The following is a 27,855-nucleotide window of genomic DNA, read 5'->3' as shown; positions in this document are numbered from 1 at the left end:
GAGTAGGCATGCATGGATAGTAGTACAGTTATATAACCTAGAAATGCAAATAGGGAGTGGAGAGGATGTCACATATGTCACTTGCTGCTTCTGAGGGGAGGCCTAGTCCTGACCTTGGAACGTTCTTTTTTTTTTTTTTTGAGACGCAGTCTCGCTGTCGCCTAGGCTAGAGTGCAGTGGTGCAATCTCGGCTCACTGCAACTTCTACCTCTTGGGTTTAAGTGATTCTTCTGCCTCAGCCTCCTGAGCAGCTTGGATTACAGGTACCCGCCACCACGCCTGGCTAATTTTTCTATTTTTTTAGTAGAGACGGGGTTTCATCATGTTGGCCAGCTGGTTTTGAACTCCTGACCCCAAGTTATCTGCCCACCTCAGCCTCCCAAAGTGCTGGGATTACAGCCATGAGCCACCGCACCCGGCTGGAAATTTTATTTGAAGAATACAACAGAAGTATAAGAATGGCTGTCACACCTCATCAATTTCCAAAGAGAAATAGTCTGCAAGCATCTCAGCCTTCTTCTTCAGAAACTCAACAATGTATTCAGCAAGTCCTTCTTTGGGACCATCTTCCTCTGTCCAGCCACTCTCTGGACTATCTAAGGCAAGCATGGCAAGGTCAAAGAGCGGTGCTGGCTCCTAGGAAGAAGCAAGAACATGAAGGAGCAAGCTTTAACGGAGCATCCAAATGAAGCCTGAATTCCCAAGAATCCACTATCAGAATGGCAGGTGAGAAACCATAAATGTAACACTCATCCCCCATATACCCCAAAGGAAGTGCCTGAACAATCCACAACAAAACCCCTTTCCTCCTCTTGTCAATGGCCATTTCAACAGAGAAGATACGACAGACAAAAAGCCTGCTGAAAGGATGGGAAGGGTGAAGCCCTGGGGAGGTACTTTCTTTCTGTGTAGCCTTAAGGACTCAACTTTCGTATTTCTAGAAAACCACAGGCAGATCATTTCTTTCTACTGCCTCATAACCAAAGCTGGGCGGGTGAGGATGGAGAGTAAGTTAAATTGAATGACATTTCAGGTAAATCATCTAATGCAGAAACAAAGGGAAAACTATGCTTAAAAATAAGATGCCTAAGTTATCTTCCATTTCTCCCCTTCTGATAATATGTTACTCATACTTTTACATATGTTATAAACCCACAGTATATTATCTTTTCATAATAGAAGAGTCCATTATCAAAAGGATATAACAATCCTAAATGTTTATGTACCCAATAACAGAGCTTTAAAATATATGGGCTGGGTGCAGTGGCTCATGCCTGTAATCCCAGCACTTTGGGAGGCTAAGCTGGGCGGATCACGAGGTCAGATCGAGACCATCCTTGCTAACATGGTGAAACCCTGTCTCTACTAAAAATACAAAAAATTAGCTGGGCGTGGTGGTGGGCGCCTGTAGTCCCAGCTATTCGGGAGGCTGAGGCAGGAGAATGGCGTGAACCTGGGAGGCGGAGCTTGCAGTGAGCCAAGATCACACCACTGCACTCCAGCCTGGGCAACAGAGCAAGACTCCATCTCAAAAAAAAAAAAATATATATATATATACATATATATGTATATATATATGAAGGCAAAAACTAAGAGAACTGCAAAGAGAACAGACAAATCATAATTATAGTTGGAAGTTTCAATACCCCTTTCTCAATAACAGAACAGGCAGAAAATCAGTAAAGATACAGGAGACTTGGGCATCACTATCAACTTGATATACCTAGAACATTCAACTCAATGAGATCAGAATACAAATTATTTTCAAGTACACATGGAACATTTACCAACACAGACCATATTCTGGGCCATAAAAAAAGTTTCAATAAATGTATAAAAAAAGGCAAGTATGTTCTTTGACTGAGATGGAAATAAATTAGAAATCAATAACATATTGTTTTAAAAATCCTCAAGAGATTGGAAACTAAATAACACAGTTCTAAAAAACCTGTAGGTCAAAGACGAAATCAAAAGGGAAATTAGAAGGTATTTTGAACTGAATGAAAATGAAAACAAACTATCAAAATTTGTGGGATGCTGTTGAAGCAGTGCTTAAGGGATATTTGTAGCACTTAACACCTGTATTAGAAAAGAAGAAAGGTCTCAAATCCGTGACCTCAGCTTCTACCTTAAGAAATGTGAAACAGGCCAGCCACAGTGGCTCACACCTGTAATCCCAGCACTCTGGGAGGCCAAGGCAGGTGGATCACCTGAGGTCAGGAGTTTGAGACCAGCCTGGCCAACACAGTGAAACCCCATCTCTACTAAAAATACAAAAATTAGCTGGTGGTGCATGCCTGTAATCTCAGCTACTTGGGAGGCTTAGAAACAGGAATCGCTTGAACCTGGAAGGCTGAGGTTACAGTGAGCCAAGATCGCACCACTGTACTGCACTCCAGCCTGGGCGACAGAGCAAGACTCTGTCTCAAAAAAAAAAAAAAAAAAAAAAAAAGAAATGTGAAACAGAAGACAAATTAAACCAAAATAGGTATAAGAAAGATTAAAAGTCAGAGCAGATATCAATGAAATAGAAAATAGAAAAATCTATGAAACCAAAAGTTAGTTCTTTGAGAAGATCAATAAAATTGATAAACCTCTAGCCAGACTGACCAAGTTAAAAAGAAAAGCCTGAAATTACCAATATTAGGAATGAGAGAGGTTATGTCACCAAGAGATCCATAGATAATAAAAGAATAAGAAATATTATAAATAACTTTATGTCAGTAAATTTAAAAATTTAGATTAAATGCGACAAATTTCTTCAAAGAAACAAAATACCAAAGCTTACCTAAGAAGAAACAGATAACCTGAATAGCTCTATACTATTAAAGAAATAGAATTTGCAGTTAAAAACCTTCCCATGAAGAAAATCTCCAAGCCCAGATGGCTTCACTGTTGAGTTCTGCCAAACATTAAGCAATAATTTTAACATCAATTCTACACAAAACTCTTTCAGAAAATGGAAAAGGAGGGGATACTTACCAACTCATTCTATGAGGCCAGCATTACCCTGATACAAAAACCAAAGACTAAAAGAAAACTATAAACTAGTAACAATCATGAGCACAGATAAAATAATTATAATAAAAATTTTAGCAAATCAAATCCCATAATAAATAAAAAGGATTATATATTATAACCAAGCAGAGTTCATCCCAGGAATGCAAAGATTGGTTTAACATAAGAAAATCAATGTAATTCACTATATTAACAAACTATAAAAGAAAAATCATATGATTATCTCAGTAGATGCAAAAAAAGCATTTGAAAAAAATTCAACATCCAATCCTAAATAAAATCTGTAGCAAATAAGGAACAGAGGGAACTTCCTCAACCTCATAATGGGCATCTACAAAAAAACCTATATGGCTAACAGCATACTGAATGTTTTGTAACTTTCCCCTTTCCCCCTTAGATCAGGAAGAAGAGAAGGATTTCCATCCTTACCACTTCGTTTTTCGTGTGTGTGTGTGTTGCCCAGGCTGGAGTGCAGTGGTGCATTCTTGGCTCACTGCAACCTCCGCCTCCTGGGTTCAAGTGATTCTCATGCCTCAGCCACCCAAGTAGCTGGGATTACAGACGTGAACTGCCACACCCAACTATATTTTGTATTTTTAATAGAGACAGAGTTTCACCATGTTCGCCAGGCTGATCTCAAACTCCTGGCCTCAAGTAACCTGCCCACCATACTCTCCCAAAGTGCTAGGATTAGAGGCATGAGCCACCATGCCTGGCCCATTCTTACCACTTCTATTCAACATTGTATTGGAGGCTCTAGCCAGTGCAGTCAGTCAAGAGAAAGAAATAAAAGGCAGCCGGGCGCAGTAATTCACGCCTGTAATCCCAGCACTTTGGGAGGCCGAGACAAGCAGATTACCTGAGGTCAGGAGTTCAAGACCAGCTCGGCCACATGGTGAAACCCCATCTCTACTAAAAATACAAAAAAATTAGCCGGGCGTGGTGGCGAGCGCCTGTAATCCCAGCTACTCAGGAGGCTGAGGCAGGAGAATTGCCTGAACCCAGGAGGTGGAGGTTGCAGTAAGCCGAGATCCAGCCACTGCACTCCAGCCTGGGTGACAAGAGCAAAACTCCGTCTTAAAAAAAGAAAGAAAGAAAGAAAAGGTGTTCAGTTTGCACAGCAAGAAGTAAAAGTTTCTTTATTCTCAGAAGACATGATACATATATAGAAAATCTGATAGAATCTACAAAAAATATACTAGAACTAGTAAGTGAGTTTAACAAGGTTGCAAGATACAGCATCAAGGTACAAAACTATATGTATTTCTATATACTAGCAAATAAACAATAGGAAATTGAAGTTTTTTGGCTGGGTGAAGTAACTCATGCCTACAATCCTAGCACTCTGGGAGGCTGAGGCAAGAGTATCACTTGAGGCCATGAGTTTGAGATTAGCCTTGGTAACACAAGACTCCCGTTTCTACGAAAAAAATTTTTTTAAAAAAATTAGCCAGGTGTAGTGGTACACACTTGTATTCCTAGCTACTTGAGCCTAGGAGTTCAAAGCTTCAGTGACCTATGATCACGCCACTGCACTCCAGCCTAGGCAAGAGTGAGACCCCTGTCTCTTAAAAAAAAAAAAAAAAAAAATTTGAGGCCAGGTGCAGTGGCTCACACCTGTAATCCCAGCACTTTGGGAAGCCAAGGTGGGCAGATCACCTGAGGTCAGGAGTTCAAGACCAGCCTGGCCAACATGGTGAAACCCCCTCTCTACTATAAATAGTTTAAAAAATTAGCCGGGCATGGTGGCACATGCCTGTAATCCCAGCTACTTGGGAGGCTGAGGCAGTTTGAGAATCGCTTGAACCCAGGAGGCGGAGGTTGCAGTGAACCAAGATTTTGCCATTGCACTCCAGCCTGGGCAACAGAGCAAGACTCTGTCTCAAAAAAGAAAAGAAAAAAGAAAATTTTTGAAAAATGCCATTTAGCATTTAAAAATGTGAAATACTAAGGGATTTATCTAACAAAAGTTTTTCACCCTAAATTGATCTAGATTCAACATAATCCCAATCAAAATCTCAGCAGGCTTTTTGTAGAGTATATCACATGAAAAAAGTGGATATGAAACCATATAAACAGGTAGTATGATTTTTAACTCAGAACTAAAATTCAGCATTGAAAAAGTTTTTGACAGTTTTCACAAAAGGCATAGAAAAAAAAAAGTCTTGGAAGAAATGGACTAAAATTGTTGGCAGGGGTTGTGTTTGGACCACGGCTTTAGACAATGTTTATTTTTATCCCTTTCCAAGTATTAAGTGTCAGTAGATATTTATTTTTTTGAGGGAATCTTGCTCTGTTGCCCAGGCTGGAGTGCAGTGGCGTGATCTCAGCTCATTGCAACCTCTGCCTCCTGGGTTCAAATGATTCTCCTGCCTTAGCCTCCTGAGTAGCTGGGATTACAGGCGCCCACCACCATACCCTGCTAATATTTGTAATTTAGTAGAGACAGGGTTTCATCATATTGGTCAGGCTGGTCTTGAACTCCTGACCTCAAATGATCTGCCCGCCTCAGCCTCCCAAAGTGGTGGGATTACAGGCATGAGCCACCGCACCCGGCCGAGTATCAGTAGATATTATTAACTTCTATATTAATAAACATTTGTTTAAGTTGGCTACCAAATGACTATTTTGCTAAAAAGTATAAAACTTCTTATAGATACCTCCATATGCAAATCATACAATACAGCAACTATCCTTAGAAGTTTTAGAAAAATTTAACATACTACAAATAAGATATTAGTGGAGAGCTACTATTTTCAGAAACGATCAGTTGAAATTTCAGAAGTGAAAAGGATCTAAACTTACCGATAACCTGAGAACACCAAAATTGGCAAAATCATAAATGAGTATCTGGTAGAACAGTTCTTCACTGAAAATAAAAATGAAGTGACTTTAAGGAAAAGCTGAATTCATGCTTGAGATACAACCAGTTGGGACAAAATGGGAGAAGTAATCCCTGAAACATGGATGAGACAGAAATAGTTCTGCCTGGCTGTGGAATCTGGTTAACAGTCTAACAAAATCTCTTACCCCTCCAAAGAGCTGGGATTCCCAACGTCTTCAACCAGGGGTCTGACTGGCCAGCCTCTAACAGACAGGTTAGAGCACTAAGACCAAGTCTGGCTTGCTGCCACTCATGTTCTGTCCCTACCTGTCTGGTGCTATAAAAGGTTCCTGACACTCTGCAGTAAGATTTAAAAACTTTTTGTCTGCTTAACTTCCCCCACTTACAAAGAATCCTATAAATCACTTTTTTACAACTTATTAAAAATTATGTGAAATGTATAGGAAGGGCAGGGAGTCTTCCTAAATAATCAAAAGTAGACCTAAGGCAGGATTATACTATGCTGACATGTAGTTTAGGATGATACACTGGCTGGCAATAGTCCAAAAGCAGCTATGAAGTACACACTATATTGAATTACTTCCAAGAACACAATGGGAATAAAGGCCACATTTATATGGTACTTTATAGTTCTTAAAACACATTGAACCCCATAGACTTGCTTAAAGACTTCTCATCAAAGCAGACAAAGCACCTTCTATGTCTGCATTTTGGTGGGGAAACTGAGGCACCTATTGAGTAGCTGACTTATTCTACATCAGTTAGTAAAGTGCTAAAGGAAGGACTTGAATCCAGATATTGAACTCTGAACCCGGTTCTCTCCCTATGTTTTTCTACCCCCTTACTGGAAAACCATTCACATTTATTAACAGCTGCAAATCTGGGACTGGCCTGGATTGTATCTGTGAAATGAAAGAACATGAATACAACTGTGATTTGGGGCCTTGGAGGTCATTCCCTTAAACATGCTGGAAAAGAAAAAGCAAGGCGAGTAGAATTCCTAACAAATTAAAAAGTGACAGCTCACTATACAAGCCCAAGCATTCTCAAAGCAGACAATGGAACTTGAACAGAGTTGCACCAAACGGGTTTCCAAGCCTAAATGGAATGAGTTCTGAATACATACAAGGAGGTACATGTGCTAACAGGAAGCTTCTGGACTGGGGCAGTTTCAAGGGATGGCGAATAGGTTTCTATCTCATGTACCAACTCCATGCAATGTATAGTGGCTGCCCCACTCACAGGGCCAATAAGCACTCTGAGGCCACAGCAGGGCTTAGAGGGAGAGTCTCACAGTAGATAGGTGATGTCTAGTAGATGCAAGGTGGCAGCATCCTCCCATATGCATTACCTATTTGAGAACAGATTTAACAGAGATGCTAGACTCAACAGGAGCTCATCCGCCAAGGTCCCTGGAAACAATCAATAGAAATGTTGCCAGCCATGCAATAGTCAAATGAAACTGCCGGGGTCACCTTTCCTGTGCTGATCAAGCCCACTGGCTCACTTGGTGGCTGGGGTAGGCCTTTGCTCCATTCTCAAAGCTGGGAGGAAAGAAGGCATCAGGTCTTCTTTCTCTTGCATCACCTACAGTACTCTGTTGCACAGAGCAGATACCAGAATTCTCTAGCAGCACCAAACCCTCACCACCTGGTTCACAACATTTATAGGGCACTGAGCAACTACCAAGGACTAGGCTTCTTGGGTTATTTCTTACCCTCACAAACAAACAAACAAACAAACAAACAAAACCCCTGCATGTTAACTAGTAATACCACAACTTACAGATGAGAAATCTGAGACATAGTTTAGGAATGTAACTTGTCTACAGTCAAATAAATGGGAAATGGTCGAACTTGGATTTGAAACCACATGTGTCTGACTCCAAAGCCTGTGCCCTCCCAACTACCTCATGCTGCTCTCCTTAGCTTTTGTGCCTGTGCTCCCTGGACCATTGTTGTAGTAGCTCTGCTTGTTCACACACTCAGCTGATTTACCTAAGCTTGGTGGTGTTGAGAAGGTATAACTTGGTTTGATGCTGTGCCAAGGCCCACTGAGGATTCACACAGCCCACGAAGGAGTGGTTATGCAACATCTCCCGGAGAACTGCAAAACAAAAAATAAAACCAAAAAACAGGTAAGTAATAGAATCCTACCAACCCCACTTCATTGACCAAAGCACCAGGCACCAGAACTAGAGACACCAAGTAAGCAAAGAAGCCTGAATTGAGCCTCCTGGTGAAAACGAACACAAATGAGGAATAAAATATAACTAATCTTTTAACATGCAACAAGGAATTGCTAAAAGATTAAAGAACACTCAAGGATCAAAATCTAAGACAAAGCAGGAACTCAGAGAGGTAACGAGATCTCTGAGGTCAACTTTATTAAAAGACATTAGAGAAACCTCAGGAATCACAAACATTAGTTTTTACAGGCTCGGAAGGTGGCAAAAGGAGGACAAAATCATGGAATGGTTTGAAATGGAGAGTCTAATAGGAGACCACTTCCCCAACACATTAAGCTGAGACTCCAAGGGCTGCACCCCCAGTGAAAAGGAAAACCATACTACTATGCCCATGCCCACTCCCCTGTCCCTCCAAGGGCAGTAAGCAAAACTGCCACCTCTAGCATTGGTGTTGGAAGAAAACATGACACCCTGTGAATGTGTAATCATAAACTGGTCCTCACATGCTTTTCCAGCCAGGATTCATGCTAAGCAGGTTGCCTGAAAACCTTAAGCAGAGATTTTAATTTAAACTGATATCGGGGCTGACTGTTCCTCCAGTAGAATCAAATGCAAATTCTCTCTGCAGAATTTCATTGTCAACCCAGGCTTCAAGTAATTCCCCACAGATAAAGTATGAGGAATTAACAAAAAACAAAAAAAATGCCCCATGAATTAGAATCCAGAAGAATCCACAGAATGAGATCTGTAAAGGTTTCAGGAATTGGAAAGATTAGCAAATAACATAAAATAAGTATGTTCAGCATGCTCAAGAACTATTAAAACCATGAGTAAGCAGCAGGACACTATCCACTATCTCCTGGGATCAAGATTTCCAAAAGAGCACATAAAGTTTTTAAAAATGAAAAATACAATAATTGAAAAGAAAAATCAAGATAGACTTAAAAAGAGATTTGACAAAGTTAACAAGCTAATTAACTGGAAGGTAGATCAACAAAATTATCCAGAATGTAGCACAGAAAGATAAAGAAATTGAAAATATGTAAAGATAACTTATGCACATGGGAGATAATAAATACATAACTCATGTTCCAGAAGGAGTCGGAGAGAGGGCAGGAAGAGGACAATATCTGAAGACTTTGAAGACAAAATACCTGAGAATATCCCAGAAGTGATGAAAACTGTCAAGTCTCAGCTAGCAAGCCCAACAAAATCCACACGTGACACACAGGGTTACTACATGGTATTTCTGAAAGGAGATCTTAAAGGTACTCAGAAGAGAGATTACCCACTAAGTAAATAAAATATAAGACTGGTAGCTGGATTTTCAACAGGTAATAAATTTTAAGATTGATAGCTGAATTTTCAAGAGCAAGAGTAGAAATCAGAAAATGATACACTATTACCTTCAATGCACTAAGAAAAAATAATTACCAATCTGGAGTTTTAAACCCAACACAAATACTTTTCAAAATAAGAGTGAATTAGACAAAGCAAAAAAGTTTGCCATGGCTATTGTTTGAATGTCTGTGTCCCCACAAAATTCATATGTTAAATCCTAACCCCCAAGGTGATACTATTAGGAGGTGGGGCCTTTGGGAGGTGATTAGGTCTTCCCTCATAATTGGGATTAGTGGGATTAGCCCTTATGAAAGAAACTCCAGAGAGCTAGCTATTCCCTTCCACTATGTAAGGATACAGCTAGAAGGTGCCATGTATGAGGAAGCGGGCCTTCACTAGACACTAAATCTGTCGGTGCCTTGATCTTGGACTTCCCAGCTTTTAGAACTCTGAGAAATAAACTTCTATTGTCTTAAGCCTGAAAGGACTAAGCCATCAAAGGCCCCACTAAAGGTTTAGGCAGACCATAAAACATCTACAGGAAAGAATTATGATCAAATAATATGTGGTAAATCCAAACAAACTGACAATAACAAGTATCACAGAACAAGTAGATACAGGCATACCTCTGAGATATTGCAGGTTCAGTTCCAGACTACAGGAATAAAGTCAATATCACAATAAAGCAAGTCATGTGAAATTTTTTGTTTTTCAGTGCATATAAAACTTATGTTTACACCACACTGTAATCTATTAAGTGTGCAAATAGCATTATGTCTAAAATCAACGTAGGTAGCTTAATTTAAAAACACTTTTTTGCTGGCCGGGCGCAGTGGCTCATGCCAATAATACCAGCACTTTGGGAACCCGAGGTGGGCAGATCACCAGAGATCATGAGTTCGAGACAAGCCTGGCCAACATAGTAAAATCCTGCCTCTACTAAAAATACAAAAATTGGCCAGGCGTGGTGGCACATGCTTATAATCCCAGCTACTTGGGAGGCTGAGGCACAAGAGTCACTTGAACCTGGGAGGTGGTGGTTGCAGTGAGCTGAGATTGTGCCACTGCACTCCAGCCTGGGCGACAGAGTGAATCTCTGTCTCCAATAAATAAATAAATAAAATTAAAAAGGTTTTTGCTAAAAAATGGTAACAGTCATCTGAGCTGTCGGCGAATTGTTATCTTTTTGCTGGTGGAGGATCTAGCCCTGATGATGGCTGTTGACTGATCAGGGTGGTGATTGCTGAAGGCTGAGGAAGCTGTTGCAATTTCTTGAAATAAGACAACAGTGAAGTTTGCTGCATCAATTGATTTTTCCTTTCATGAAAGATTTCTCTGTAGCTTGTCATGTTGTTTGATAGCATTTTACTCACAGTAGAAATTCTTCCAAAACTAGTGTCAATCCACTCAAACCCTGCTGCTGCTTTACCAAGTTTATATAATATTCTAAATCCTTTGTTGCCATTTCAACAATATTAACAGCATCTTCACCAGAATTAAGTTCTTTCTCAAGAAACTACTTTCTATGCTCATCCATAAGAAGCAACTCCTCATCTGTTCAAATTTTATCATGGGATTGCAGCAATTCAGTCATATCCTCAGGCTCCACTTCTAATTCTAATTTTCTTGTGATTTCCACCACATCTGCAGCTACTTCCTCCACTGAAGTCTTGAACCCCTCAAAGTTATCCATGAGGGCTGGATGCAATTTCTTCCAAACTCCTGTTAATGTTGATATTTTGACTTCTTCCCAGGAATCTCGAATGTTTCTCAGGACATCTAAAATGATGAATTCTTTCCAGAGGTTTTCAATTTACTTGGCTCAGATCCATCAGAAGAATCACTATCTATGGCAGCTAGAGCCCTATGAAATGTATTTCTTAAATAAGACTTGAAAGTCAGTATCACTCCTTGATCCATGGGTTGCAGAATGGATGCTGTGTTAGTGTTCATGTCCTTATATATCTCCATTACAGATCTAGGGTGGCCAGGTACATTGTTAATGAGCAGTAATATTTTGAAAGGAATCTTTTTTTCTGAACAGTAGGTCTCAACAATGGGCTTAAAATATTCAGTAAATCATGTTCTAAAAAGATGCTGTCATCTAGGCTTTGTTGTTCCATTTATAGAGCACAGGCAGAGTAGAGTTAGCATAATTCTTAAGGGCCCTGGGATTTTTGGAATAGCAAATGAGCACTGGCTTCAACTTAAAGTCACCAGATGCATTAGTACCTATTAGAGTCAACCTGTCTTTTGAAGCTTTGAAGCCAGGCAGTGACTTTTCCTCTTTAACTATGTAAGTCATAGATGACACCTTCTAATAGAAGATTGTTTTGTCTACATTGAAAATCTGTTGTTTAGTGTAAGCCACCTTCATCAATTAGATCTTTTGGATAACTTGCTACAGCTTCTACATCAGCACTTGTGGCTTCTTCCCTTAAACCTCATCAATCTCTGCTGGCTTCCAAGTTTTCTTCTGTAGCTTCCTCACCCCTCTCAGTCTTCAAAGAATTGAAGCAAGTTAGGGCTTTACCCTGGATTAGGCTTTGGCTTAAGGGAATGCTGTGACTGATTTGATCTTCTATCCAGACCACTAAAACTTTCTTTATTACAGCAATAAAGCTGTTTTGCTTTACCATTCATGTATAACTTGGCTAACTTGCACAAGAGGCCTAGCTTTCAACCTATACTGGCTTTTAATATGCCTTTCTCATTAAGCTCTTCCTTTCAGTTTTTTTTTTTTGTTTTGTTTTTGAGACGTAGTCTCACTCTGGTGCCCAGGCTGGAGTGCAATGGCATGATATCGGCTCACTGCAACCTCCACCTCCTGGGTTCAGGTGATTCTCATGCCTCAGCCTCCTGAATAGCCAGGACTACAGGCATCTACCACCAGGCCTGGCTAATTTTTGTATTTTTAATAAAGACGTGTTTCACCATGTTGGCCAGGCTGGTCTCGAACTCTTGACCTCAGGTGATCGACCTGCATTGGCCTCCCAAAGTGCTGGGATTACAGGCTTTTGAAAGGAATCTTTTTTTCTGAGCAGTAGGTCTCCACAATGGGCTTAAAATATTCAGTAAATCATGTTCTAAAAAGATGTGCTGTCATCTAGGCTTTGTTGTTCCATTTATAGAGCAGAGGCAGAGTAGAGTTAGCATAATTCTTAAGGGCCCTGGGATTTTTGGAATGGCAAATGAGCATGGGCTCATTTGTGAGCTCAAATGTGAGCCATTGCGCCCAGCCTCTTCCTTTCACTTAAACACTTGTGGACGCTGTGGGGTTATTAATTTGCCTAGTTTCCATATTATTGCGTCTCAAGGAATAAGGAGGCCTGAGGAGAGTAAGGAAGACATGTGAACACCCAGTCAGTGGAGGGGTCTGAGCACACACATTTATTAATTAAGCTCACTGTCTTATGTGGGCATGGTTTATGCCCACATAAGACAGTGAGCTTAATGGTGCCCCAAACAATTACAATAGTAATGCCAAAGATCAGTGATCACAGATCACCATAACAGATATAGTAATAATGAAAAAGTTGGAAATATTGTGAGAATTACCAAAATTTGACAGAGACACTAAGTGAGCACATGCTGCCATAAAAATGGCAGCTATCGGACTTGCTCTACGAAGGGGCCAATCTATAACTAGTAAAAAATGTAGTATCTGTGAAAATCAATTCCAGGTGGGCTAGAGGCTTAAGTATCAGTCTTTTAGGAAACAATCTAAGAGCATATCTTTAATTATTGCAAAGTTAGGAAGGATTTCTTAAGCTACAAAGCCAATCTGTAAAGAACAATTGATAAAATCTGCCTACATTAAATCTAAGAATTTCTGTTCCTAAAACAAGTATTCATTTTAAAAAGTTACTAGAGGATCCCTAAACTAGGGATATTTTCATGTAACTCATTACTATCTAGAATATATCAAAAACTCCAAAAATTAATTAGAAAAGACAAAAAAAGAGCCCATCAAATATTGGGTAAAAAACTTGAACAGGTACTTAACAGCTGAGGAAATATACTTATTTATTAATTGATTACTTATTTATTTAGTTATTGCTCTGTTGCCCAGGCTGGAGTGCAGTGGTACAATCTCGGCTCACTGCAACATCTATCTCCCGGGTTCAAGTAAGTCTTGTGCCTCAGCCTCCTGAGTAGCTGGGATTACAGGCATGTGACACCATACCCATCTAATTTTTGTATTTTTAGTAGAGATGGGGTTTTGCCACGTTGGCTGGGCTGGTCTTGAACTCCTGGCCTCAAGTGATCTGCCCACCTTGGCCTCCTAAAGTGCTGGGATTATAGGCATGAGCCAACGCACCTGGCTGAAATACACAACTTTATTTCAACCAAGAAAATGCAAATAAAAACTACCATCAGACACTGTTTCACAATCACCAAACTGGTAAAAATCTGACAATATAATTGTTGGTGATAATTTAAATCAATATGACCCCTCTGGAAAACAATCTGTCATTTTATGACCCAGCAATAACTCTCTTAAATATATGACCTAGAGCTTCTCATCCAGTATGCCAGGCCACCAATCAACTCATATGAGGCTGGGAAGCAGGGTGGCATGTGGGGACACAGAGACTGAGGCCATATGAGTCCTCCAACTGTCCTTTAACAGAAGAATGAATGAACTGTAAATTCACGAAGCAGAATCTATATTATACAGAAAAGGTAAACCAGAGCTATATGTAACAAGATGGATGAATCTTAGGAATATATGTGTAGCTATATATAAATTACAGAAAAATTAAACTTACAGTGTAATTCTACTTTTATAAAATCTAAAGCTTGCAAAAGTAAACAAATTTTTAGGAATACAAATACAGGTAATAAAACTGTAATTAAAACACTATAATAAAAAAAGGAAATAATAATCCCAAAATTTAGAATAGTAATCACCTCTAAGGAAGAAGGGAAGGGAATGGCACAGGGGAGCAGCACATAAGAGCCTCAAAGGTGATGGTGATGTCCTATTTTTTAGGCAGATGCTATTCTCACAAGTGTTCATGTTTTTCTGTAGATGCTACATATATTTCATAAATATGTTTTTAAATTTACCAATGTATATGTTTATGTGTGTTATGCACACATATATACATATACTTGTGCATATATCTATGTGTGTGTATATGTTATCTTTTTTTTCATGAAATAAGTAAAAATATCACCAGCAAAAAGGAAGAGTGAGGACAAGAGAGGTTGGAGAAAACGGGGCATGGGTCATAGCACAGCAATAAGCCTATACATTATGTTTTTACTATACTTTTTTTTTAAGCTTTGGCACCACAAGTGAATTCTCATACTATTATAGAAGTTCTGCAATACTATCACCCACTCCATAAAAAAAGGTTTATTTTCTTCATTTTTAGAATAAGTATTCCTCTCTGTTCCCACTGGAACCTCAACGTCTCTACAGGATGTTCTGCGTAGGCGGAAAATGATTATTTTAAAAGCTGGAGAACATCAAATAATACTGAATAACGAGGCACTGGAGGAAAGGGAGAGCAGTGTAATCCACTAAAACAGTCAGAGATTTTCCACACAGAATGTTCATGGACTGCTCTGACGCATCCAGAGCTACTGAAGCGCAGCCCTGCCAGCAGGACGGGGAAGGGAGGCGGCAGCACCAAGCACAGGGCTTTTCTTCATTGGGCATTGTGAGGCTTCTTGGACCTCTTCACAGCCTCTTATCAGGACTTAATCAACTTGCATTTCGTCCCTAACCTAAATATGCCCATAGTGCTGTCTGTAGGCATTTCCCTGCCAAAATCGGACAAAATCCATCTGTGCTTCAAAGCCAAACCACATATCTGAGTTCATAACCGAGGCCATGAGTCTCAGCATCTTTTTCTGCAGCAAGGGAAACCAAAGCTGAAGAAAGGGCAATCAGTCCTCTAGTTCCTAATGCTCACTTGCAAGGGTAAACGCCCCCATCCCCTGCTGGTTGTCTTCCAGTGGCCACTGTATGCCAGTGCCTTTGCTGCTACCAGAGATGATCAAGACACCCTTCCATCCCTCTCAGGAGATCTCACCCTGGCTTTCTGCTGAACTGGCCTCATATCTCTATTAGAGGATTTCTTTCATTCTACCTAAACAATTCCCATACAACACCATGGTGTTCTTTAAGGCAGGGGTCATAGTTTATCCATTTCACTTCCTACTTCTGAGCTTGGCACATTACACTTTTTACAGAGAAGATACTTGACAAATGTTCACTGAACTGATTTCTTGTTCCAAAAAAACCTGTCACCTAGTGACAAACCATGGATATATACATTCAGACCCAGGACTGTTCACCAAAGAGCAAGAAAATGAAATTAAGTGTGGATATCTGGAGGCAAAAAACGTTAAGGGTATTTTCACTTTAAATGGTACCAAATAGCTTATGACATTTCTTAACCCCATTAATTAACGTCAAAATTATGGGACTAGCAGTAAGTTAATTCAGTCATTACTAATCCCTGAGATGAGCCTTATTCCATAGAATGCTTGCCTGGATACTGCAACCTGTCAAAATTAACCTTACTTTTTAACTGAAAGTGTGTCCACCATGGATGGGTAAATCCCTGGACTCAAGAGAACTGTCTAACTGAATGTTCAACTTTGATATCCCTTTAAAATAAAGATTCTAGGGCTTTACCTCCCAGGCTGCTCCTCTCAATCACTGACTCGCTCCCTTAGCAAATATCTACTGAGTACACATGCCAGGCACTCTGCTCAGCACCGAGGACGAGGTGGTGAGCTCCACAGACATGATCCCTGCACAGACAACACACTGATCAAATAATCATACAGGTGCAACTAAGAAAGCTGTTACAAGGAATGTATCTCTTACTTCTTTCATGGCCTGGGGAACTTCATCAGGGAGTAGCCAGCCTGTTGGTCTGTTAAGGTTAGTGGTCTTCCTCACCAAATCTGAGCCTCAGTCAAATCCCTATACAGCATTCAACTAGAGAATCAGCTTCTCCCAGGCTGGGGCTTTGGATGTCAACCAGATACCAGTGGGTAGGGGCTCATGGCAGAGGTCCCTCCCCTTGAACAGTGCCTTACAGATTATAAAGCACACACACAGTATCTTAAGTGTTCATCACCACAGCCCAGTAAGGGCTGCAGTGAAGCACATTTTACAAAAGCACGAAAATCATGCCCAAAATGGTGAACAAATTTCTGTCTGGCCTCTGAATGGTGTAGGTGGTGGGAGCTTCAGAGGAGTTCTGGCTCCAAAGCAAGAGCACATTCCATTCCCCATAGCACAGATGACTCTGTCTGTAAGACCCTACACCAGCACGTTTGAAAACACCAGCCTCAGTCGATGGAATCAGAATTACATGGCGTGCTTGTCCTGCACGGGCTGTTGACCTGGTTATGCATCTAGCCTTCCTGCATGAAGGCCACAGCCAGTAGCAACCCACTGCCAACAAGGCATGAACCTGGGCCTGTTTTTGATTGCGAGGATGTTGCAATTAGTCTGTCCTTTCCATTTTCCATTCCATTTTCCTCATCTTTAAAATAGAGAAAACGGCATCTGCTCTGCCTCACTCACAAGACTATTACATAATTAAGTGAGATACTGTGTAGGAATACACAATTTTAAATCATTTAGATTTATCATTTTAGCCTCAGTAAGACTCCAAAGCTGACCAAACTTGAGGCAGGTTAGTTTTGTTAATACACTGCACTGAAAACAGTTTGATACTATTCAGAAAGTTATTGACATTGTAACTTTCAACAGCCTGCTATACATGAGGGAGACAAACCCTTAAAGAAAACTCATAAATTCCAAACTGAGGGAGTCTGTCTATCAAAACCACTGTGAGGAAGACTGCTAAATGCATCAAGTAACAGCTCACTTTTATTTAAAAGCATTTTAAAAGTTCCTAGCTTGAAAGCTAACAATGATGGAAGGGAAGAGCCACTGGAGCAAATCATGGAAATAAAAACCAGAAGCCAATTGGCAGCCACTTCTACAGCTAGCAAAACCTCAGTCACAGGAAGCCTGTATCCTGCCCAAAGGGAGAGACGACCTGTGGGTCTTTTCCCACGTGTAAACAAAGGCCCAAAATGCTAAGAAAAGGGAACAAATGTAGAAAGGCAAGGTGAAGCCTGCCTGAATTTGCTTAGACAAATGGTGACTGAGACCGACAAAATTAAAGAAGCCACTGAATCAAAAGCAGATGGGTTTTTTTTTTTTTTTTCCTTTTGAGATGGAGTCTCGCTCTGTCGCCCAGGCTGGAGTGCAGTGCCACAATCTCGACTCACTGCAACCTCTGCCTCCCGTGTTCATGCCATTCTCCTGCCTCAGCCTCCCGAGTAGCTGGGACTATAGGCATCCGCCACCCCGCCCAGCTATTTTTTTCTATTTTTAGTAGAGACAGGGTTTCACTGTGTTAGCCAGGATGATCTCGACTCATGATCCACCCGCCTTGGCCTCCCAAAGTGCTGGGATTACAGGGGTGAACCACTGAGCCCAGCCAAGAAGCAGCTGCTTTAAAAGGTTAGGGACTAGTGGGAAAGGCACAGAATTGCTCCTTGGCTACTCATATCTTTTAAAAATTAAACCAGATCGTCGTATTTTAAGATACACTTTGTAACAGTTTTCAAATTTGACTACTTTAATTAAGAAATGTGTAATAGGCCAGGTGTGGTGGCTCACACCTGTAATCCCAGCACTTTGGAAGACAGAGGTGAGAGCCTAGGAGTTCAAGACCAGCCTGGGAAACATGGCAAAACCCCACCTCTAAGAAAAGAAAAATTAGCTGGGCATGATGGCACATGCCTGTAATTACAGCTACTCAGGAAGCTGAGGTGGGAGGATCACCTAAGCCCAGGGAGGTTGAGGCTGCAGTGGGCCATGATTGCACCACCACACTCCAGCTGGGTGACAAAGTGAGACCCTGTGTCAAAAAAAAAAAAAAAAAAAGGTATAATAGATGAAAAATAGAAGGGTCACTGCTAAATTCTCAAGTACAGAGCTGCCTACTGGAGCCCTGGACAATGATGTCTACACTTAGACCATTACTCATAGTCTCACTCATAAAGTGGGGTCAGGACTGTTGTTTGGACCAGTTCACTGTTATATACCTCAATCCCTGAGTCAGTTCATCCCTTGGAGGTGACTAGCCTCACCTTTTAATTCCTAAAACCATTATTTTAGTTTTGAAGTAACAGGGATCAAGATAGTTCTATACTCAGGTATTCTCAAAAGCTATTTCTGACATAGATGATAATGATTTACCACTTTGTCTTCAGAATATAAAAGTGTCAACTCCTTGCTCTGTAACAAGTGTTATTATTTATATTTTATCTCTAATCAGCACGATGATCTTTAAGGGTAAAATTAATTTCATTTTATAGGTAAGAAAGAACTGAGGCATAGAAAGGTCAGGAGTCTAAGGTCACACAAGAGAGGTGGTAGTGCCAGGATTTGAGCTCATGGCTACCTCCCAAGCCTGTGCACTTTCAGCAACAGGACATGCCATTCAGTACACAAGATAAGAATTTTGCTGACCATTACACTGCTGTTAGCTAAGACAGAAACAAACTGAAAATTGGTGAAATGGCTGATTTACTCTGACTCCTATGGTTTAACAAGAATACCAATTAATGCTAATTAAAATAAACAGAGATTATTTTTCTCCCTTTTCTCCCAATCAAAAATTGTCTTTAAGCTGATGCTATTGTGGGTTAGTAAAGGAAGAGGAGCTTGCCCAGCAAAACTGTAGTGGCCACTCTGACAACATGACTGCTTTCTCCATTTCCAAAACCTTGGCAGTTGAGGCCCTATGCATCCCAGGCAGGCCACAGCGTTTACGTACCCTCATGTCCCTGCTCATTAATTTCTTCCTGGAGACTCAAAACACTAGTGAGGTTAATGATCCTTCTCCGGGGGGTACAAGCTGCAGTCATTTCCTTTCGGGAATCATCTTCCACCATTTCCACATCAGAATCTTCCCGATGTCTCTTTCTGCAATGAAGAAAAGGAAGTGCAGATCATTATTATTCTTGTTTTTAAACTTAGCCAAATTTTGTGGGTTGCATTTTGGAGGAGCAAGCAACTTCTCTGTGCTGGTTCTACAGAGCTGTGAATGAACCCCTGTGCTGGCAGAAGGCCAACAAGATCAGTCTGTTCTCTGGTAGACTGCTTATCTGACAACCCTCAGATCCCAGCAGCTGGCCACACAGCCAATGTAGCAGGACTCTGGAGTATAGCTTCATCCCGTAGAGCTGCAGGGCCTTGAGCAAGTGAGCTGAATTTGTGAAGTCTCATTCATTCATTCCTCCATCTATCCATCCATCAGATACTGCTGTATACTAACTACATCCAGCAATGAACAAAACAGAGAAGGTACCTGCCCTCACAATGCTTACTTCCTTTTTTTTTTTTTTTTTTTTTGAGAGAGAGTCTCACTATGTCTTCCAGGCTGGAGTGCTGTGGTGTGATCTCAGCTCACTGCAGCCTCTGCCTCCCAGGTTCAAGTGAGTCTCATGTCTCAGCCTCCTGAGTAGCTGGGATTACAGGTACGAGCCACCATACCCAGCTATTTTTTGTATTTTTAGTAGAGATGGGGTTTCACCGTGTTGGCCAGGCTGGTCTCGAACTCCTGACCTCAGGTGATCCACCCGCCTCTGCCCCACAAAGTGCTGGGATTACAGGTGTGAGCCACAGTGCCCGATCTACAATGCTTACTTTCTAGTGGGAGAGTCAAACAGCAACAGAAAAGAGATCATTTTAAGTATCAATAAACACAATGAAGAAAATAAAACAAGGTAGCATAATAGAATGATGGGGAAATGAGAGGAGAAAGAACTTCAGACTCAATGGACAAAGGCCACTGGCAAGAGGTGACTTGCTGGTCTCATACTCCCAACCTCAGGTGATCCGTCCGCCTTGGCCTCCCAGAGTGCTGGGATTACAGATGTAAGCCACCACACCAAGCCAAGAGGTAACCAGGGGGTTCCCAGGCTGTAAGAACAGCAAGAGCAAAAGGGTAAAAAGCTCAGTCAGTTCAGATCAGCCACAAGAGCTGTATGGCCAAATCACCACATGGGAGAAGGAAAGTGGAGGGTTGGAGCAAGGGTAGGGTGAGGGATTTAAGTTTTATCCCAAGAGCAAAGGAAACCACTGAAACATTCTCAGCAGAAAAGTGATACCACTTGATTTTGGGCTTGAAAATATTTGTCTACTCTGTGGTAAATATCACTTAGTTCTGCAAGTGATAAACAAATGTTAATACTTTCCCTGCAGGGATAAGAGCATTAAATGAGATAACGTATGCAAAGTATTTGGCACACCGTAGATGCTCCATAAATATTAGCTTCCTTTATTATTCCCTGGAAAAAAATCTTTTTTTTTTTCTTTTTTTGAGACAGAGGATCTCACTCTGTCAGCCAGGCTGGAGTGCAGTGGCGTGATCATGGCTCACTGCAGCCCCAACCTCCTGGGCTCAAGTGATCCTTCCACCTGAGCCTCCGGAGTAGCTGAGACTACAGGCATTTGCCACCATGCCTGGCTAGTGTGTGTGTGTGTGTGTGTGTGTGTGTTGTGTGTAACTCCTAGACTCAAGTGACCCTTCCACCTTGGCCTCTCGAAGTGCTGGGATTACAGGCCAATGTACCCGGCTGGAAAAAATTCTTAGAAGTCATCTTGCTAGGCTGACTCAGAAATGAGCAAACTGAAGTAACGTGTCCCAGTTCACACGGCTAATTAGTGCCACGATAGTGCAAGTGCAGCCTTGGGCAAATTCCTTCACCTTGAGCTCCAGGTTTCATACAAGTACACTTTAAATAAAGAATATCTACCTTAGAGATTTCAGTGAGGTAATGTCTTAGAGTACCTGCAAAGTGTACACTGGAAGTACTCAAAATTAAATGACAATCTTTATTATTATTATTATTATTATTATTATTCCTGCTCCTTTTCTCCAGCTTTCTTTCACCACTAGCTCACGTACTTCAGGGATTTTTGGGGTTTTTGTTTGTTCGTTTGTTTTGAGACGGAGTTTCGCTCTTGTTGCCCAGGCTGGAGTGCAATGGCGCGATCTCGGCTCACTGCAACCTCCGCCTCCCGGGTTCAAGTCATTCTCCTGTCTCAGCCTCCCGAGTAGCGGGGATTACAGGCATGCGCCACCACGTCTGGCTAATTTTGTATTTTTAGTAGAGATGGGGTTTCACCATGTTGGTCAGGCTGGTCTTGAACTCTTGATTTCAGGTGATCCACCTGCCTCAGCCTCCCAAAGTGCTGGGATTATAGGTGTGAGCCACAGCACCCGGCCAGGGAGTTTTATAAATTAGATTCAGAACGTGTGTTTTTTCCTGAAAAAAGTGAAAGCAGCTTTAAGTAGGATGAAAAATAATCCTCCAGATATGTTAGGCTTCTCTCTCTAGCCATTTCTGGTGTTGAGGCTCTATCAAAATTCTTTACTAAAAATAAAAGATAAACTTGCTTTTTTTTCTGGTGTGTGTGTTTATTCAATTGAACAACTACTCTACATTCTGAAGTGTTTTTAACTCATGCTTGGAACTGTGGACATTTAAGTTATTTCAAAGGACACTATGGTGGGTGACTTTCAAGTTATGGTCAAAGGCAGACAGTGGACAAGGCCACAGGACCATTCCAGCACCATTCCAGAGGGCAAGTCAGGCAGAGAGAAGATGCAAGTGATTCATGAAAAGCCAAAGTTAGAAGGCAGTTTTATTACAGAATAAAGGAGGTAGGCTGTACTTTTCCCAAAAGGCCATACCTGGGGTTGCTGGAAGTAGGTCCTCTCTTCTCTGACATTTCTGAAGTCCCCTTTGTTGTATCCCCCTCCAAGCTCTGATTTTTGGCAGCCACTTCAGCAGGGGCTGGGAGTTCAAGCATCTCCTCATCTTGCTGCCTAGCCCTGCCACTAGAAATATCTGTCTTATCCTCTGTGACAATGGCCTGGGGCTGACTGGACAGGGGTTTGCTCAGAGGCTGCAGAAATGCATCAAGCTTCTGTTCCCGGGAATCTGTACGAACCATCTGGTGGGCATAGACCTTATCACTACTTCCAGAAGTAGAAGACGAGGTCAGACTTGTTGTGGATTTAACCATCTCCCCAGAGGGGCCAGCAAGTCCTGGTAGCAAAGTCTGTATTAAAAAAAAAAAAAAAAAAAAATATATATATATATATATATATATAGTGGAGAGACTCAGAATAAGAAGTATAGATATACAGGTCCCCAAATGGAGCAGTACTAAGAAAGAAGCTAGTATGAGGTATAATTATCATTGTTATAGAAGCAATTCTGCCCGAAATTTGAAGTATAAAAGGTTTACAGGTATAAAATTCAAGAATTAAGCAAAATCCTTATAATCTTAAAATTATCTTGAAATGGAAGTATCAGTGTAAAATTTTCATATTTTTGTCTTGGGGGGGTGCTCCCAGAAGAAGACTTTTTTTTATTGTGGTAAAATATATATAAAATTTACCATTTTAACCATTTTTAAATGAGAGCTCAGTGGCATTTACATTGTTGCGCAACCATCACCACCAGCTATCTCTAGAACTTTTTCATCTTCCCCAAACTGAAACTCTGTGCCCATTAAACAATTTCTCACTTCCCCTTCCTCCCAGCTCCTGGCAACAACCATTCAACTGTCCATTTTTAAATATACATATTTCCTAGCTCTGACCACTGGAAAAGCCTAAAAGTAATGACTACTCAGTAGCAATGAGGACTCCCAGATCCCAGATTATAGTCTCTAAATACCATTTCCCACTAAAATGAACTAGAGCTCCTCGGAGAAAAGGCCTATTCCAGGGTTTGGGCTGGGAAAGTATAAAATGTGCCTGCAACATCTTGTCTTGTCAGAAACAAGGAAATTATCAAGACAAATGGAAATCCATCAAAAGGTAGAGGGCCCTAGCTCCAAGGGCTTGCTTCCATGGGACTAAGACGGGATAATTTGAGCACCAAAAAGAAAAATGACTACAATTGATTAAAATATGTTGCTCTGTTAACAGCTATGACAAAATACTGAAAGAGCAAAAAACTGAAAGTGAGGAGGGAGGAGATGGAGAGGGAGGGAATAAGAGAAGGAGAAAGAGAAGGGAAAACGTAATTAAACACCACTGGAAATTACTAGGACACCATTCATTCCTTCGAAAATTGATAGCTAGAGGGATATAATTCAGCATTTGGTCTTACTTTCTAGTAAGAACTGTACTTCAGGACAACCAAATAGCTATTAACAAGGGAAAGTTCTTCTATACCAAAGAATTACAGTCAATACAGAAGAAATGATAAAATCAGAAAAGCATAATCTTGCAATCTAATGAAATAACTGATTCAGGTAATGGTCATCACAAAAGGTGAAACGATTAAGCTACATGTTGATGGATAAGTTTACAATGAGGGAATCAGGCTGTCACCAGCTGAACCCACTTATGAATCTTATCACCAGAATGATATAACAACACATTATGCTCCTCCTGCTGGGGTATAATAAGAAGTACAGGGCCAATGGAAACAAAAAGGTACAGTGACTTTTCTAACTTCAAAGAGACTTAAAAGATTTTTAAGAGTAGTTATGGTAATTTCTGCTTCCCAAAACCAACCAGTAAATTAAAAAAATATATATATACACACACACACATACACTTAATATACGTAAGTATATATATACACTTAATATTTATTTAATATGTATATATTTTTGTCCAAGGTTCCCAGCTCATAACTCCCATAGTCCTGTTATCGTCTTCTGTTATAATGTTGGGGTGCTTTAGGCCTCAGAAGGTCTTAGGCAACAGAATTTCTCTTACCTTCTCCTGCTTTCCTTTCACTTGCCCAAGGCAGGACTCTAATTTGATTGTGGGTCATAAGACCCTCATTCCATAGGGGTCCTGCCCCATATCCTGGAGGAAAGAATGGCCACAGAGAGGCCAAGAAGAATCTGAACAAACAGGCCTCACTGAGTTTAGACCCCTTTATGTCCAATCATATTTCGACACAGTTGTCCATGTTTCAATCATGCCTGCCTAACGACGTCTCCATAAAAGGCCCAAGAAGACAAGAGTTTGCGGGCTTCCAGAGAGCTGAACATGTCGAAGCTGACAAGAAAATGAATAAGAACTCATCCATCTGCTGGGAGCCAAGTAGATGGGGACAGAAGCTCCTGCGCTCCAGACCCTTCCAGATCTAGCCCTGTATATCTCTTTATTTGGCTATTTATTGGTATCTTTTTAAATCTTTGTAATAAGTCCAGAAAACTAAGTGTTTCCCTGAGTTCTATGAGCCACTCCAGCAAATTAATCAAAAATAAAGTGGGGGGTTGTGGGAACCCCAACTTGAAACTGGTCAGAACTTCTAGAGTCCTGGACTTGTGACTGGTGTCTGAAGCAGGAGACTGGGGGCAGTCTAGGGGACTGCACCCTCAACCTGTGGGATCTAATGCTATCTCCAAGTAGACAGTGTTGGAATTAAATTGGAGGAGACCAGCTGCTGTCCACTCTGGAACTGACTGCTTGTTTAGTGTGTGGGGAGAAACCCCCACACAAGTGGTTATAGAAATCTTTTGAGTTGATTGTTGTTATGGTGAAAGATTGGAGGAAAAACACAGCAACCAAATATGATGAGTGGTATCCCCAGGGTTCCTGATTTCCATATCAAATGCATTCACTGCAAACCAGGGCTTCTGATGTACTGGCCATGATCAGTGGAGTACAAGGCACAATCTAAGAAGCAGAAAGATGGTGGTTCCATGGGCCAAAAAGTCAGGAGCCAGTGTGACCTGCTGGTGGCAGGGAGAGAAGGTATTCTGATAACCCTATGAAAACAGGGAGCAGCAAGGAACCCACCAAGCTGGTGTCATGCACCAATGGACAAGGGCAGGCCCTCTGATCCTTCTGAAAACATACTGGTCAGGACTTAAGCAGAGTTCCACTGGAAAAAAAATGTAATCTAACAAAATGAATCTGACTAACCCAGGATAAGACAAGGAGGCATGCTGAGAGGTTCTTCTCCCCATGGAGCCACAGACTCCATGATCTCTGGCCAACCCCTTGGACCTCAACTGGGACAGAGCAAATGGCAATCACTCTGGGCTAGGCAATGTGCTCTCCATCTTCATTTCACACTTTGGGCCTTTCTTCCCACTCCCCACCAGCCAAACCATTTCCAGGTCCTAGCAAATCTACATACTCAACTATTAGTGAATGGGGCTACTTCCTGTGTCTCAAGTCCCTCACCACTTCTCCCAAATCACTGTAGGCTTCCATCTTGCTCCTCTCCAATCCATTCTGATATTGCAACCAGGGAGCTCTTCATAAAATGCAAATAAGATCCCATCCATTCCCACCAAATTGAAATCTAAACTCTTTAATATCCTGATGAAAACCTCTCTATTTGGCCTGAATTCTGCAGCCTCAACTCCATCACCGCCACTTGCCCTAACAGATCCATACTCAGACCCCAGCACAGCTTAACCCCAGCTGCACATGACAGTACCTGGGGAGGGTTTTAAACAATCCTGATGCCCAGACCCCACCACCCAAGAATGATTTATTGTTTTAGGGAGGGCCCAGACACTGGAATTTTCTAAAAGTTTCCCAGGTAATTCTAATGGCAGCCAGGGTAGAGAACACTGGACCCACTGCACTCAACTTTCAGATCCTCAAACACATATTCTCTTGCGCCTCCAGGCCTTTATCCTTGCCATTTCCTCTGCCAGAAACACTCTTTTCATTCCCCCTCCCCTTTGGCCCAGCAAATTCCTATTTAGCCTTTGGGTCCCAGCCTCCATGTCTCTTCCCTCCCTTTCCTAACTGCCAAAGTCCAGGACAAGGGCCCCTGCTATATTCTCCCGAGTCTGTTTTTCTCTCCCATGGGATATATTCTCTAGCAGACCATGAGCGCTTCTGTGGAAGGCAGCAACATCTATGCTGCATCCCTGGGCACCCAACACAGTGTGTGTCTCAGATAGGAGTCTCAATGCACATGTGCAGAGGGAGGCAGAATAAAAGGATCAGTAAAGGGGCACTGAGCTTAAGTGAGCAATGGGAACAGATATCAAACCAACTAAGAGTTACTGGGCATTTCCTGTGTATCATAGTGCTCCAAGAGCCTTACCCACGCTAGACATGTTAACCCACTGGGGGCATGTGTGGCCTCATCTCATCCATGGGCACTATAAGGCATAGGGACTTATGGCCTCTATAAGACCTAGGGCTCATGTTGGTACCAGGAGTCAATCAATAACGGAGGAACAAGGGTTGGTTTCCAGACAGAACTTCTTCCTCCCACCTGCCACATATCCCTTTCAGGTCTCACCAGTAGGAACCTTTCTCTCTGCATCAACAATCTCCAGATGTGTGGGTTCCAAGGCTGGTGGGGCTGCCCTAACTGGGTTTAATCTCACCGCTTAGTGCCCATGCCACCTCCATCTAGATTCTTTCCAGGTAGGTAACTGTCAGTGTCCTTCCGAGAAGCATTCATCTGCTTGGGAATTTTAAGTTTTCTGTGAAGTAGGGTTTCACAGTTCCAGTTTTTGCTTCTAGGATCCAGCATAATTTAATGGAGAAAATATTTATATTCCTATTTTGTAGTTTCAGTGTGCTTATGATGAACATCTTCACCATGATTAAAGGGCTGCCCACAATCACATCATCTCAGGACCAGGAGTATATTGGAGAACATTTTATCCAACCTGCTTATCTTATAGATAGGAAAACTGAGAACTCAGGTAAGTGAAGTGACTTAGAATAATAAGCACTTAGAACCTGTACCAGACACTTTCTGTTCACTGACTGCTTGTAACTGTCCCTGGATTTGGGGATGACACATTCCTTCATTACTGAGGGGGATATGGAGGCCAGGGAAGGCTAGTCACACGGCTGGTAACCCAGGTCTGTCCAACAGTAGAGCCTCCGCTCTTTCCACTCTTCCTGCTGCCTCCCTGGGGCCCAGACCCTCCACTGCACCCTGTGTAGGTGGGAGTAGCCTCCTCCTGAACATCTCCAGTGAAGAGCACATTGAAGAGGCACCCTATTCTGTTTTCAGACAGCTCGTTTTCCTAGGAAGTTGGTCTAAGGTTCCAGATGGAGGCAAAGTGAGGAAGTGAGCTCAGGCCTTATGACTCTAAGCCTAGGAACAACAGCACAATACCTTTATAACTAGGTTCAAAGAAGAAAATGTTAAAACTATCCAGGTAATACTTGCAAAGAAAGTTCCTAAATAACAGGCAAAAATCTGGGCTCTCACGTCTGGCCGGGCACATTTCAAAGGCCCCAGAGAAGTAGCTGGATGAGAAGCGCCCTGACCTGGGTGAAGTACATCCTGGAGGAATTGGAGCCCAGGAGCTTGCTCTCGATGTGCTGCTGCACCCGCTCCAGGATGCTCTCCTCGTGCAGGAAGTGAACTTCATGCTTTGTGGGGTGCACATTAACATCCACATTCTGGGGACTGATTTCTAAACTGTCAGGAA

The 27,855-nt window shown here is 41.7% G+C and overlaps 1 protein-coding gene across 28 annotated transcripts in view; it reads right to left on the bottom strand.

Annotated features, from left to right (window-relative positions):
• MLH1 (mutL homolog 1) overlaps positions 1-27,855 on the bottom strand; it is a 57,381-nt gene that overhangs the window by 2,692 nt on the left and 26,834 nt on the right. For 23 of the 28 annotated variants that reach the window (XM_047448155.1, NM_001354619.2, NM_001258274.3 and 20 more), the window contains 6 exons: positions 27,692-27,845; positions 22,148-22,518; positions 19,223-19,371; positions 7,861-7,969; positions 5,824-5,887; positions 472-636 (listed from right to left, as the gene is read on the bottom strand). In XM_047448155.1, coding sequence (XP_047304111.1) covers positions 472-636; positions 5,824-5,887; positions 7,861-7,969; positions 19,223-19,371; positions 22,148-22,518; positions 27,692-27,845 — 1,012 coding nt within the window. The remainder of the gene's footprint in view (positions 1-471; positions 637-5,823; positions 5,888-7,860; positions 7,970-19,222; positions 19,372-22,147; positions 22,519-27,691; positions 27,846-27,855) is intronic. The other 5 variants (NM_001354627.2, NM_001354624.2, NM_001354626.2 and 2 more) reach the window with 2 other exon arrangements.

The sequence above is a fragment of the Homo sapiens genome, chromosome 3 (genome assembly GCF_000001405.40).
Source record: "Homo sapiens chromosome 3, GRCh38.p14 Primary Assembly".
NCBI classification, from domain to species: domain Eukaryota; kingdom Metazoa; phylum Chordata; class Mammalia; order Primates; family Hominidae; genus Homo; species Homo sapiens.
Note: the sequence above shows the minus strand (reverse complement) of the source record. Positions and strands in the feature narration are given on the sequence as shown.